The sequence below is a fragment of the Homo sapiens genome, chromosome 4 (genome assembly GCF_000001405.40).
Source record: "Homo sapiens chromosome 4, GRCh38.p14 Primary Assembly".
Lineage (NCBI taxonomy): Eukaryota > Metazoa > Chordata > Mammalia > Primates > Hominidae > Homo > Homo sapiens.
The window spans coordinates 26,652,228-26,667,699 of NC_000004.12; the positions used below are offsets into that span (position 1 = coordinate 26,652,228).

A 15,472-nucleotide genomic window follows, 5' to 3' on the forward strand; every position below is an offset into this window, starting at 1 on the left:
AAAATGAGTTAGGGAGGATTCCCTCTTTTTCTAATGATTGGAATAGTTTCAGAAAGAATGGTACCAGCTCCTCTTTGTACCTCTGGTAGAATTTGGCTGTGAATCCATCTGGTCCTGGACTTTTTTTTGGTTGGTAAGCTATTAATTATTGCCTCAATTTCAGAGCCTGTTATTTTTTTGTTTTTCCTTTTTGTGGAGAACGGGGTCTCACTGTATTTCCCAGGCAGGTCTCGAACTCCTGGGCTCAAGCTATCCTCCCACCTCTTGCCTCCCTGAGAGCTGGGATTACAGGCGTGAGCCACCGCACCCGGCCAGAGCCTGTTATTGGTCTATTCAGAGATTCAACTTCTTCCTGGTTTAGTCTTGGGAGGGTGTATGTGTCAAGGAATTTATCCATTTCTTCTAGATTTTTCTAGTTTATTTGTGTAGAGGTGTTTATAGTATTCTCTGATGGTAGTTTGTATTTCTGTGGGATCAGTGGTCATATCCCCTTTATCATTTTTTATTGTGTCTATTTGATTCTTCTCTCTTTTCTTCTTTATTAGTCTTGCTAGCGGTCTATCAATTTTGTTGATCTTTTCAAAAAACCAACTCCTGGATTCATTGGTTTTTTGAAGGGTTTTTTGTGTCTCTATCTCCTTCAGTTCTTCTCTGATCTTAGTTATTTCTTGCCTTCGGCTAGCTTTTGAATGTGTTTGCTCTTGCTTCTCTAGTTCTTTTAATTGTGATGTTAGGGTGTCAATTTTAGATCTTTCCTGCTTTCTCTTGTGGGCATTTAGTTCCATAAATTTCCTTCTACATACTGCTTTGAATGTGTTCCAGAGATTCTGGTATGTTGTGCCTTTTTTCTCATTGGTTTCAAAGAACATCTTTATTTCTGCCTTCATTTCGTTATGTACCCAGTAGTCACTCAGGAGCAGGTTGTTCAGTTTCCATGTAGTTGAGCTGTTCTGAGTGAGTTTCTTAATCCTGACTTCTAGTTTGATTGCACTGTGGTCTGAGAGACAGTTTGTTATGATTTCTGTTCTTTTACATTTGCTGAGGAGTGCTTTGCTTCCAACTATGTGATCAATTTTGAAATAAGTGCGATGTGGTGCTGAGAAGAATGTATATTCTGTTGACTTGGGGTGGAGAGTTCTGTAGATGTCTATTAGGTCCGCTTGGTGCAGAGCTGAGTTCAGTTCAATTCCTGGATATCCTTGTTAACGTTCTGTCTGGTTGATCTGTCTAATGTTGACAGTGGGGTGTTAAAGTCTCCCATTATTATTGTGTGGGAGTCTAAGTCTCTTTTTAGGTGTCTCAGGACTTGCTTTATGAATCTGGTTGCTCCTGTATTGGGTGCATATATATTTAGGATAGTTAGCTTGTCTTGTTGAATTGATCCCTTTACCATTATGTAATGGCCTTCTTTGTCTCTTTTGATCTTTGTTTGTTTAAAGTCTGTTTTATCAGAGACTAGGATTGCAACCCCTGCCTTTTTTTGTTTCCCATTTGCTTGGTAGATCTTCCTCCATCCCTTTATTTTGAGCCTATGTGTGTCTCTGCATGTGAGATGAGTCTCCTGAATACAGCACACTGATGGGTCTTTACTCTTTCTCCAATGTGCCAGTCTGTGTCTTTTAATTGGGGAATTTAGCCCATTGACATTTAAGGTTAATATTGTTATGTGTGGATTTGATCCTGTCATTGTGATGTTAGCTGGTTATTTTGCTCATTAGTTGATGCAGTTTCTTCCTAGCCTTGATGGTCTTTACAATTTGCCACGTTTTTGCAGTGGCTGGTACCGGTTATTCCTTTCCATGTTTAGTGCTTCCTTCAGGAGCTCTTTTAGGGCAGGCCTGGTGGTGACAAAATCTCTCAGCATTTGCTTGTATGTAAAGGATTTTATTTCTCCTTCACTTACAAAGCTTAGTTTGTCTGGATATGAAATTCTGGGTTGAAAATTCTTTTCTTTAAGAATGTTGAATATTGGCCCCCACTCTCTTCTGGCTTGTAGAGTTGCTGCTGAGAGATCTGCTGTTAGTCTGATGGGCTTCCCTTTGTGGGTAACCCAACCTTTCTCTCTGGCTGCCCTTAACATATTTTCCTTCATTTCAACTTTGGTGAATCTGACAATTATGGGTCTTGGAGTTGCTCTTCTCGAGGAGTATCTTTCTGGCGTTCTCTGTATTTCCTGCATTTGAATGTTGGCCTGCCTTGCTAGATTGAGGAAGTTCTCCTGGATAATATCCTGCAGAGTGTTTTCCAACTTGGTTCCATTCTCCCCATCACTTTCAGGTACACCAGTCAGACACAGATTTGGTCTTTTCACATAGTCCCATATTTCTTGGAGGCTTTGTTGACATTTCTTTTCATTCTTTTTTCTCTAAATTTCTCTTCTCACTTAATTTCATTCATTTGATCTTCCATTGCTGATACCCTTTCTTCCAGTTGATTGAATCAGCTACTGAGGCTTGTGCATTCGTCACGTAGTTCTCGTGCCTTGGTTTTCAGCTCCATCAGGTCCTTTAAGGACTTCTCTGCATTGGTTATTCTAGTTAGTCATTTGTCTAATCTTTTTTCAAGGTTTTTAACTTCTTTGATGGGTTCGAACTTCCTCCTTTAGCTCGGAGTAGTTTGATCTTCTGAAGGCTTCTTCTCTCAATTCATCAAATTCATTCTCCATCCAGCTTTTTTCCATTGCTGGTGAGGAGCTGCATTCCTTTGGAGGGGGAAAGGCACTCGATTTTTAGAATTTTCAATTTTTCTGCTCTGTTTTTTCCCCATGTTTGTGGTTTTATCTACCTTTGGTCTTTGATGATGGTGACGTACAGATGGGGTTTTGGTGTGGATGTCCTTTTTGTTTGTTAGTTTTCCTTCTAACATCAGGACCCTCAGCTGCAGGTCTGTTGGAGTTTGCTGGAGGTCCACACCAGACCCTATTTGCCTGGGTGTCAGCAGCGGCAGCTGCGGAACAGTAGATATTGGTGAACAGCAAAGGTTGCTGCCTGATCGTTCCTCTGGAAGTTTTGTCTCAGAGGAGTACCCGGCCATGTGAGGTGTCAGTCTGCCCCTACTGGGGCGTGCCTCCCAGTTAAGCTACTCGGAGGTCAGGGACCCACTTGAGGAGGCAGTCTATCCGTTCTCAGATCTCAAGCTGCGTGCTGGGAGAACCACTACTCTCTTCAAAGCTGTCAGACAGGGACATTTAAGTCTGCAGAGGTTTCTGCTGCCTTTTGTTTGGCGATGCCCTGCCCGCAGAGGTGGAGTCTAGAGAGGCAAGCAGGCCTCCTTGAGCTGTGGTGGGCTCCACCCAGTTCGAGCTTCCTGGCTGCTTTGTTTACCTAGTCAAGCGTTGGCAATGGCACGCGCCCCTCTCCCAGCCTTGCTGCCACCTTGCAGTTTGATCTCAGACTGCTGTGCTAGCAATGAGTGAGGCTCTGTGGGCATAGGACCCTCCGAGCCAGGCACGGGATACAATATCCTGGTGTGCCGTTTGCTAAGATCATTGGAAAAACGCAGTATTAGGGTGGGAGTGACCTGATTTTCCTGGTGCCATCTGTCACCCTTTTCCTTGGCTAGGAAAGGGAATTCCCTGACCCCTTGCACTTCCTGCGTGAGGCAATGCCTCGCCCTGCTTCAGCTCATGCTCAGTGCGCTGCACCCACTGTCCTGCACCCACTTTCCGACAATCCCCAGTGAGATGAACCTGGCACCTCAGTTGGAAATGCAGAAATCGTTCGTCTTCTGCGTCGCTCACGCTGGGAGCTGTAGACTGGAGCTGTTCCTATTTGGCCATCTTGGCTCCACCCCCTCCACTAGATTCCTAATAGTTTTTTTTTCTCTCTAGAGTTTTACTTAAAAATATTTTTAAAAATTATTATTATTCTGTCTTGAAAAATGCATGTTATTAGAAAAATAAAAAAGCATATGTAAGAATAAAATTTGAAATAATGCACAATGTTATTCTACAGCAATAACTACTCTTTTATTCTTACTATATGTGAGAATAAAATTTGAAATAAAATAACACACAATGTTATTGCACAGCAATAACTACTATACTTTTAAAATAACAATATATTATGAACATTTTTCATGTCATTACCCATATTAATTGAGGCATATTATACTGTATTTTATTATATGAATTAACCATTCTTTATTTAAATAATTCCTTCTAATGAGTTATTTGTTTCATATTTTTCCAATGTAAGCTGTACTTCACTAACATTATTTCTTTATGATCCTAGCAAACATATTTATTTTCCTTAGAATCATATTCTATGTTTATACTTACAGAAGTAAGATTCCTACATTAAATGGTATGTCAGTATCTAAGTTGGCTTTTATCTGCTTTTTTTTTTTTTGAGATGGAGTGTTGCTCTGCCATCCAGGCTGGAGTGCAGTGGCACAATCTTGGCTCACTGTAACCTCCCCCTCCCGGGTTAAAGCAATTCTCCTGCCTCAGCCTCCCGAGTAGCTGGAACTACAGGAGCACACCACCACACCCAGCTAATTTTTTGTATTTTAGTAGCAATGGAGTCTCACGATGTTGCCCAGGCTGGTTGTGAACTCTTGAGCTCAGGCACTCTGCCTGCCTCGGCCTCCCAAAGTGCTGGGATTACAGGCATGAGCTGCTGCGCCCAGACACTTATTTTTGAAAATTATATAAATGACCTTTTTTAAGCTCTGCTTTTCAAATTTTTTTTTTCCTTGTGAGTTTGGTTTAGAGGAGATGCCCTGCAATCTTTCTTCTTCTTCTTCTTCTTCTTCTTCTTCTTCTCCTTCTCCTTCTCCTTCTCCTTCTCCTTCTCCTTCTCCTTCTCTCTTTCTTCTTCCTCTTCTTGTTCTTCTTCTTCTTCTTCTTCTTCATTTATTTATTTATTTTTATTTTACTTTAAGTTCTGGGGTACATGTGCAGAATGTGCAGTTTTGTTACATAGGTATACATGTGCCATGGTGGTTTGCTGCACCCATCAACCTGTCACCTGCATTAGGTATTTCTCCTAATGCTGTCCCTCCCCTTGCCTCTGACCCCCTGACAGGCCCCGGTGTGTGATGTTTTCCTCCCTGTGTCCATGTGTTTTCATTGTTCAACTCTCACTTATGAGTGAGAACATACAGTGTTTGGTTTTCTGTTCTTGTGATAGTTTGCTGAGAGTGATGGTTTCCAACTTCATCCATGTCCCTGCAAAGGACATGAACTCATCCTTTTTTATGGCTATGTAGTATTCCATGGTGTATATGTGCCACATTTTCTTTATCCAGTCTATGATTTATGGGCATTTGGGTTGGTTCCAAGTCTTTGCTATTGTGAATGGTGCCTCAGTAAACATACATGTGCATGTGTCTTTATAGTAGAATGATTTATAATCCTTTGGGTATATACCCAGTAATGGGATGGCTGGGTCAAATGGTATTTCTAGTTCTAGATCCTTGAGGAATCGCCACACTGTCTTCCACAATGGTTGAACTAGTTTACACTCCCACCAACAGTGTAAAAGCATTCCTATTTCTCCACATCCTCTCCAGCATCTGTTGTTTCCTGACTTTTTAATGTTCACCATTCTAACTGGTGTGAGATGGTTTCTCATTGTGGTTTTGATTTGCATTTCTCTAATTAGCAGTAATGATGAGCATTTTTTATATGTTTCTTGGCTGCATAAATGTCTTCTTTTGAGAAGTGTCTGTTCATATCCTTTGGCCACTTTTTGATGGGGTTATTTGTATTTTTCTTGTAAATGTGTTTAAGTTCTTTGTAGGTTCTGGATATTAGCCCTTTGTCAGATGGATAGATTGCAAAATTTTTCTCCCATTCTGTAGGTTGCCTGTTCACTCTGATGATAGTTTCTTTTGCTGTGCAGAAGCTCTTTAGTTTAATTAGATCCCATTTGTCAATTTTGGCTTTTGTTGCCATTGCTTTTGGTGTTTTAAGACACGAAGTCTTTGCCCATGCCTGTGTCCTGAATGGTATTGCTTAGATTTTCTTCTAGGATTCCTATAGTTTTAGGTCTTATGTTTAAGTCTTTAATGCATATTGAGTTTATTTTTGTATAAGGTGTAAGGAAGGCATCCAGTTTAAGTTTTCTGCATATGGCTAGCCAGTTTTCCCAGCACCATTTATTAAATAGGCAATCTTTTCCCCATTGCTTGCTTGTATCAGGTTTGTCAAAGATCAGATGGTTGTAGATGTGTGGTGTTGTTTTGGTGGCCTCTGTTCTGTTCCATTGGCCTATATATCTGTTTTTATACCAGTACCAGTCTGTTTTGGTTACTATAGCCTTGTAGTATAGTTTGAAGTTAGGAAGTGTGATGCCTCCAGCTTTGTTCTTTTTGCTTAGGATTGTCTTGACTATGCGGGCTCTTTTTTGGTTCCATATGAAGTTTAAAGTAGTTTTTTCCGATTCTGTGAAGAAAGTCAGTGGTAGCTTTGGGGATAGCATTGAATCTATAAATTACTTTGGGCAGTATGGCCATTTTCACAATATTGATTCTTCCCATCCATGAGCATGGAATGTTTTTCCATTTGTTTGTGTCCTCTCTTATTTCGTTGAGCAGTGGTTTGTAGTTCTCCTTGAAGAGGTTCTTCACATCCCTTGTAAATTGTATTGCTAGGTATTTTATTCCTTCGTGGCAATTGTGAATGGGAATTCATTTATGATTTGGCTCTCTGTTTGTCTGTTATTGGTGTATAGGAATGCTTGTGATTTTTGAACATTGATTTTGTATCCTGAAACTTTGCTATAGTTGCTTATCAGCCTAAGGAGATTTTGGGCTGAGACGGTGGGGTTTTCTAAATATACAATCATGTAATCTGCAAACAGACAATTTGACTTCCACTCTTCCTATTTGAATACCCTTTATTTCTTTCTCTTGCCTGATTGCCCTGGCCAGAACTTCCAATATTATGTTGAATAGGAGTGGTGAGAGAGATGCCTTGCAATCTTACTTCATCATCTTTCTACAAATATTGTCAATTTGTTTTTAAATGTGTTAGAATTGATTCTAAAATTTTTCCTGATAAATATTACAATCAAGCAAGATTTTTTTCTTATCACCTTCTCTGGTAAAGTGTTATAATCAAGCAATTTTTATTTTTTCTAACCACCAAAAAGTTTTTATTTTTAAGTAAATTCTTAACTTGGTAGAGTTTTGTATTGTAGATCATTCATTGGAATATAAAACCATCCTAATTAAAGTATATTTATGGCATTATATATTAACATTTCAATATACTTTTATACTATTTTAGAATGTAATTAAAGTATGTGCATCACCCAAATAGTAATTAATTTTGTGGTGATACACTAAGAATATCCCTGCTAATTTTATAAGTGTAAACATCCTGGAAAGAAACTAACCAATTTTGTTGGATTTGTTTTTAAAGGTATTAATTAATCTTCGCAACCCAAATTATGAAAACGGTGATTCTCTTAGTTTCAGGACTCATTTGGGTTTAATTCAAGTTCCACTGAAAGTAAAAGACATCCCTGAATTGGTAAGTATAGAAACTTAAAAATAAACATCATTTAGAAGATAACCATTAGAAAAATGTTTTAATACAGCATGTATGTAAAGCAATAGGGTAATCTACTCATTAAACAAATTAATAAAGTGACGTTGATTCTTTTATTGCAAATATGTATATAGAGAGAGCAAGTTGTTTTGCTAATAGAACTAAAAATGAGTTCACATTGACATATAAATGCTTTTGCTTATTTTGTATTTTAATAAGCAGCATAGATTTATGAGACAGCTTGTTGGGATTGAGTTGTCTGCTGGATGGTTATAAAACTGATTGAGACAAATTGTGAGTTTTATAAGATTATTTTTAAAAAAGTACATTTTATTTAATTTCACAAACTTTTATGGAGCTTGTAACAAGATGAGGCACTTAGGGAGATGGAGAACATAAGAATTAATTAGAGACTGGCTTTGCTCTGGAGACCGTAATATTTTTGTGAGGAAGCTCATTTTAAAATGAAAAGTAGGGAGATTTCCTGATGGTGGAATTAAGAAATTATCACTCCTTCTTTCAAAGTCACCCTAAAACAATAAGGAGCGTAGAAATATAAATACTGTCTTTGGTGAAACTAGGAAGCCACTTATAACTCTGGGCATTAATGTATTAAGATAGAGCACTGATGATAAATGACTTAAACAGGGGAGAAGATCAAACCTAAATGTCTCTAGAAGATAGAAAGTGTGAATGAGATTAAAGTATATTTATGGCATTATATTTTTTGCCAGTCATCAGTTTATTATCTTTCAGCTCCAAATTCTCCTTTTTGCTCTGCTTTATCATGCTGGAGCCGGACCCTATAAACGTTTCCCCTTTGCCAGCAGGCCTGATGTTAGGGTTTGTCAACAGAAGGTTCTAGAGGGACACTGCAAGGCCATAGCAGGAGGCAGGGGCTTCCATTTCTAGTTCCTGTATGTAGGAGTCAGCAGATTGGGATGCAGGAGGTTCAATAACACTCACCTCAGTAGTCCTCAATAGTCCAGGTCTAAGCTGCCCCTTGACAAGTTTTTCCACTACCCCTGGTCTGCCTTTGTGTGGCAGCTACACTGCCCCTCTACAGAGGTATGAATCTCAGCATTCAGGGCCAGGGGACCCTTTTCTAAGTTCTTAGTTTCTTCTTTGTTTACTTTCCTTTAGCCTAGAAGTCATAGTTGCTTTCTGCATTTGCTTCTTCTGTTTTTCCCTGTTCACATTTCTGGTATGACCTATTTCCTGACTAGACACTGACTGATGCAAGAAGCAATATGATTTTCTCCATAGAGCCTTAGAAATGTTCAAGAAATGGAGGTACCACATGTCAGAGGAAACCATAGTGAGCCATAGGGCTGAAAATGTAGATTGTGTGAAAGTCTGGATCAGGAGAAGTTAGTCCCCCAGATTCCCATCACCATGCCTACTCAGATGACTCCTCCTCCCCCACAGAAGACCAGAGGTGTATTCACTAGAGATCCAGATGCAGAAAGACTGCACTCGGAGGCCTCAGACATAGAGCAGGACAGGAATGAGCTATTGAAAACAGCAATTAAGTGAAAGTCTGCTGAATGGTGAGATTAATACTCTCATTCTTAACACCACTACCCTACTTTCCCCACCCTCCACCTTCTTTTTCCTTACCCTCAACCAACTCTAGAATGCCAGAGAAAAGACTAACAAGGATTCAGGGAACCCTTACAAAAAAGAGGTTGGCTGGCTATAAAATTGCCTCACAGTGAAGCCTACTGCATTCTATGCCTGACCCTTGCCGACAGAGCTTCCAGTCAGTTCTTTATTACCTCATTTCTAAATCGGAACGACCAACCTAGAAACCCCAGACTTTTGAATTCTTCCAGTATGAGAGGCAGAGACCAAACTAAAGCAAAACCAAACAACAACAACAATAACAAAACCCAAATAGCCAAATTAGGGAATGACCACTAATAGGCATTTCAGGTTCTGATTTACATTGACACTCACAGGATGCAATAGACGATAACCTGGCCCCAGGTTCACTTAAATTTGTGAATGAAACAGAATGGAAAACAGCATGACAGTATACTAGCATGCCATTAGCAGGTACATCATCACGGAGAGTCCTTACAGCCATCCAAATGCTACTTCCCAACCCTCACAAGGAAGGTATGCAACTGAAAATGACAAGTCACATAGGCACAACATAGGGAAGTCTCATACACAATAGGAATCATTTCTTGTAATGCACATAAGCATAGCTTCCAAGTCCTCTCAAGAGATACCACACAGGTGGCTAAGGCCTGTGTTTTCCAGTCAGTTTTTATACTCTACTCACAGTTTTCCATTTCAGATGTCGTTTACCAGTCAAGGATCGTATGTTTTCAGTAAATAACATTGCTTAGCAATATAGTGGGGACATTTCTCTTAGAATTTTTTTTTGTGATTCAGTACACTTTTAGGGCAATAGTGATGGGAGAAGGTAAACCCAATGTCATCTTCAAATGGACATGTTAACCATTTATTCCCAGAAGGAGACTTTAATGAAACCATTAATATTCTCAGAACGATAAGATATTACTCAAAACAAGAACAGAATTTCATTAATGCAAGAAAACACTTGAGAATGAAAAGGAGGTTTTGGGATTAAGAATATAGTATGCCAAAAAATACATATCAATAGATGAGTTGAAAACAAAGCTGAGGAAATCTTTATCAGAAGATGAAGCAAAAAGCCAAAGAAATGAAAAACAGGAGGGAAAAGATTTCTTAAATTACAAGATCAATCTACAAAGATTAACATCTGACCAAAAGGAGTTCCAGAAAAGGGAAACAGAGGGAATGTAATTAAGTTTATAAGAATTTAAGCAAGATGTGGCTGTCCAGTGAAAAGGCTTACCAAGTACCCAGTGCCGTGAATGAAAGAAGATCCCCACCAAGGCACTTGAAAACGAGAAAACTGAAATTTTTTTATAAAAGAAAAGCAGAGTATATACAGTGTCAGGAATCAGTGTGGCATCTTACTCTCAGCAGCAACACTGGAAGCCAGAAGATTTTGAAGTAATGTCTTTAAAAACCTGAGTGATTTCAAGCCTGGAATTCTATATGTAACCAACAATCAATCAAATGTTAAGGAGGAGTAAACATTTTCTGATGTACTGATCTAAAATATTTACTCTTATTTAGGGAGCTCTTGGTAGAAGCGCTTCAAACAAGGTCATAAACAAGAAGCAAAACATGGGACCCAGAAAACAGGATCCCAACCAAAGAGAAGGAGAGTTTCCCAGAAATGATAGTAAAGAGAAGTTCCAGGACAAAGGCTGTACAACTGGACTGAAACACAACAATCCTAGATTGGAGCAGGAGGTTGGAAGGTTCCAGGATGGATGCCTGCAAGAAAAACACCAAAAGTACAGATGATCTCACAGGCTTGACCACATGCAAAATTATATTAAGGAGGGTCTTTTCAGAGTTGTTATGGGTTTAAGAAAAAGACGTAAATGATTAGAGAAAATTGTATAAGTGAAAAATCAGTTTAATTATAAACAGTGTGGAAAAAAGTATAAGAATGAAAACATTGATAAGTACCACATGCCTCACCAGTGAAACATTTACATAGTCACAATAATGCAAACTTTTAATATGGATTTAATTAAGAATTAATGATGACTGAAGGACGGAAAGAATGTGCATGAGCTAAAATCCTCATTTTCCATATAAAATCAATAGATGATATCTGAAACTGCTGCATGTAGAGGCAATTTCATATGAATATTAGGTGATGACACTCTGAAACCAGCCAACTTGAAGGAGTTTGCTAGGTAAAAAAGCAGGGAAAGGATAATTTAGACAAAGTTTCAGCTTATGTGTGAATGAGACTACTATGTATTCTGTCTGTCTGAAGAGACCCTAAACTGATGCGAATGCATTCTTAGCTATTGGAGAACCAAAAGCTTGTAGCTAATTTTCAAGAAATTGTAGCTATATGATTAAGAGTATAGTTAGTCCTTTTATTCCTCAGTCATTATGGGTAGTTGTCCCTGCCTTGCCTATATCATGCAGCCTGGCAATATAATGATTCTGACTCCAGGATACTTGGTTTATCTGTGACCCTGGTCTGTCTGTGCGAGTATTGAACTTGGTGAGGCTCAGTGAGTCCTGTGATCCTGTAATGGATAGCCCTTAAACCTAATTACAAGGTTAAGTAGACTCATACATATTAAACAGAAATTCCTTATAACTGAGATGTATTAACTCTAAAGTGTAGTTGTGATAAATTCCTATTTACTAATTTGGTTATGTGGAGACAGCTAGTTAGGACTAGAGCTAAGTAGTGTGGTTCAATATTTATTGAACCCTTTTGTTATGTCAGGCCCTGTGCCAAGTAGTAAAGCAGAGTGCAAATGTGTGTAAGAGACAGTGCTTGTCTTCCAAGAGCTGCAGGCTAGTGGAGAGGTGGGCAGTAAAAATACAGTTTCAATATGATGTGATTGTGTGCTTGGGTAGAGGTTGATAAAGGATAATATATGTGCATAAAAAGTTGTTTATATCAGCCTGGAATGTCAAGGGAGGCTTCTCTGAAGATGTCATACCTGGGGTGAGTTTTGAAGGAAATCTGAGATTAGGGTCCATGTCTGCTGACATTGAGTTAAAAATAGTCCAGAGCAATGAAGTAGGAAATTGATGTCCAGAGTTCTGTTCATGCTTTTTAACATGTCCTAGCCTAAGTAAAACTCTCCATTTTAATTATAGAACCTAATATTAAAGCATTTGTTGGGTATAAGTCCCTTTTGCAGTATGAAGATTAAGGTTATTTTTAAAAAGAAAAATACAAATGATTTCAATTACAGAAGAGTGCCTTAAAATAAATGGAAAACAATGGTTGAAAATGGAAGAATAACACATTTTTACCTCTTCAGTCATTAGAAATTGGTAACATAAGATGCAGTACTTTTTTTTTTTTTTTTGCAGTTGCAAGATTTAATAGAGTGAAAACAGAGCTCCCACACAATGGGAGGGGACGCAAAGGGGATTGCCCACTCCCAGCTCGAATGCCTGGGTTTATATCCCGATCATTGTCCCTCCCCCTGTGCTCTCAGGCGATATATGATTTGACTATTTCTTTACCTCCTGCTTTTAGCCTAAGTTGTATTTTAGTGAGCCCTCTTTACTACCTGGTTGGTCGAGTGTGAGCTGAGTTACAAACCCCGTGTTTAAAGGTGGGTGCATTCACCTTCCCAGCTAGGCTTAGGAATTCTTGGTTGGCCTAGGAAATCCAGCTAGTCCTGGCTCTCAGTCCTCACTCTCAACAGGAAAACCCGAGTGCTGTTGGGGAGGTTGGCCGACGATCGCTCTAACTGCTTCCTGCTGAACTGGGGCATAGTAGGGGACGTGCAGTTGAGATTTCCTTGGAAGGGGTGCCTTCGATGTCATTAACATCAGAACATGGGCTAGCAGGCCAGTCCAGGGGTCTGCGGTAGATCTTAGTCATGGACAAGATGCAGTACTTTTTAAAGGGTAGATAAAGATTAAAAATTGAAATATAGTAGTAGTTATTTAAAATCTATACAAAATGAAATGTGTATATGTGTATGTTAGGCTGAATAACTGTCTTGTAAAGGACATTAATAAATCACTAACTTAAGTAATAATAGATAATTAGTAAGGATTAAAACTAATTCCATCTTTTAAAGGACAAGGAAGTATGGGTTTAGCAATTAGAATAGTTAACAAAATGCTGAGGAAAATATTAATAGAAATATTTAATTACTTTGGGCATAAAAATGTGAATAATGTGAGGTTTTTATATATTTAAAAAATACCAGACAAACATTATTATTTTTCTTAGACATTACTAGATAAGTAGAGGAAGTCTGGAGAATAAATCTGATTTATCCTTATTTTAGCAGAGCACTTGATGGTCCAATTGTACTTAAAAATTAATTTAAGTTGTTTTGGATATTTGCAGTGTTTAGTTGATTAAGATCTGAGTGAAGTACAGTAACATAGAAAGCACAAATACAGGATCATAATGGTAATTTTAGACAATGATTTTAGAAGATAAAATTGGTAAGTGATATGCATACTGAGTGTTTGTATGTGTGTGTGTGTGTTTCAGGAAAGGTTTAAAGTTAGTTTTTTACTGAAAGGATAATTATCATTCCTTACCTTACTGAGTAGTCTGTTACCTAAAAAGGCAAAATCAAGAACTGTTTTTGGAAAACAGTTCTTTTAAACAATGGCAGCACTCATTGGTCAAAAGGCAAGAAGTAAAACTTTTATTAGGTAGGAAAAATTAGGAGAAAGAAAAATATTGCTAATGGCTCTCCATTTGGATAAACATTATATGTTTGTGTCTTTCCCATTATATATTTATATTTCCTAAATGCTTATATCTTTTCTATTCATGATTATTTTATATGAAAATAATAAATATTATATAGTAATCACTGGTTATTCTATTCCTTAATTTTGGACTAATGCCTTATTATTTAGATGTTTAATATGTCCTTTTCTTTTTTAGGTATTTGAATAAAGCAAAGCCTCATTTCACACTGTGATTTTTATTCAAGCTAATGTTAAGGCAAAGGTGATCTTTTAACAATGTGCAGCAAAGTCTGAGATCTATGTTAATTCTACGTATGTTATTTTTCAGAAAGAATGCTTTGTGGAACTTGGCTTAAATATAGGACAACTGGGTATAGATGATTCTACACAAGTGCCTCCTGGTTAGTATTTTTCCAACGGCATATAATTAATGATAAATGAGAGTGAGCCTAAGGTTTATATTGCTATTTCCAAGTTAATCTAGCAATTTTTTTATATCTGAAAACTAAGCATGCTTTTGCCTCTCCTTGGTTACTGTTATTTATTGAATAGAATCCTGTATGTTGTAATTATTAGACTTCAACTAAATTTTGTCTTTTTATTTGAAAGTCTTTAAAATGATTTTGAAAAGTCATTAGACATATATAAGTCATTTTTGTTGTCAGAATCTTTACTGGCAACATCCTTTCCTGGCCATCAGCATCTGTTTTTACTTTTGTATCACCAAGTTAAGTGAACACTGACGTCTACCTTGAGTCAACTTAGGCTTTAAAAATAGTGTGTTTTAAACCTTAATAATCCAAGCAGTTTTCCTAACTTTTCCCTTTTTGTGCATAAATTCAATATACTTTTTATTAAATACTACACTGGTATTTAGCTATAATAAAAATGAAGTACAAATTTACTTGAAGTATGGGAGCCCCGTATTGTAGTGGAAATAATACTAGATAGGGGTTAGGAGACTATTCTAGTCTTTCCTCTGCCACTGGCTAACTGTGTAACTTGCACAAGTCACTATGCATCTTTGGACTTGTTTCTTCCTCTATAAAATAAATAAGTTGGCTCTTACCACTATTATAATAGCAATATTACATAATTATTACTATTATTATTACTATGTAATCAGAAATAACCATTGGGCACATACTATATGTTGCATCTATATTGTCTCATTTTAACCTCTCAGCAACTTTATATGGTATCAATTTTCATTTTTAAATACTTTATTAATGTATAATGCATATAAAAGAATACATCTATAATAAGAGGACAGCTTAATGAATTTTTACAAATTGAATACACCTATTAAAATACCCAGAACACTAAACAGAAGCCCTCCTCCTACCCTCTTTCAATCTGTAATCCCCATTACAAAGATTACTATTCTGATTTCTGGCAGCACAGATTAGTTTTTCAAATTCTTGAACTTCATATGAATAGAAGCATACAGTGTGTCTCTGTGATGTTTGACTTCTTTTGTTCAAATTATATTTGTGACATTTGGCCATGTTGTTATATGTGTTTATAGATCATTTGCTTTCTGGTGTTCCACTGGATGCATATACCACACATTTATTTATCTATTCTACGGTTGATAAATATTTGGGAAGTTGCAAGTTTGAGGATAGTACAGATAAGGCTACTATGATCATTCTAGTATGTGTTTTTTGGTGAACGTATCTATATTCTGCTGTG

At 37.6% G+C, this 15,472-nt stretch overlaps 1 protein-coding gene across 19 annotated transcripts in view, besides 1 other annotated feature; it reads left to right on the forward strand.

The window, feature by feature from the left end:
* TBC1D19 (TBC1 domain family member 19) overlaps window positions 1-15,472 on the forward strand; it is a 282,243-nt gene that overhangs the window by 75,551 nt on the left and 191,220 nt on the right. For all 19 annotated transcript variants that reach the window (XR_007057937.1, XR_001741277.2, XR_007057936.1 and 16 more), the window contains 2 exons: window positions 7,370-7,480; window positions 14,106-14,178. Coding sequence is in view for 10 of the 19 variants with exons in the window: in XM_047415904.1 (XP_047271860.1) it covers window positions 7,370-7,480; window positions 14,106-14,178 (184 nt within the window). In the remaining 9 variants the exon portion in view is untranslated. The remainder of the gene's footprint in view (window positions 1-7,369; window positions 7,481-14,105; window positions 14,179-15,472) is intronic.
* Window positions 9,320-9,614: a silencer, noted in NCBI's record as "tiled region #1278; HepG2 Repressive non-DNase unmatched - State 24:Quies, and K562 Repressive non-DNase unmatched - State 15:Elon". NCBI's record gives its function as "represses a minimal TATA promoter and a strong SV40 promoter by Sharpr-MPRA in HepG2 and K562 cells {active_cell/tissue: HepG2 | K562}" and the evidence as "EXISTENCE:reporter gene assay evidence [ECO:0000049][PMID:27701403]".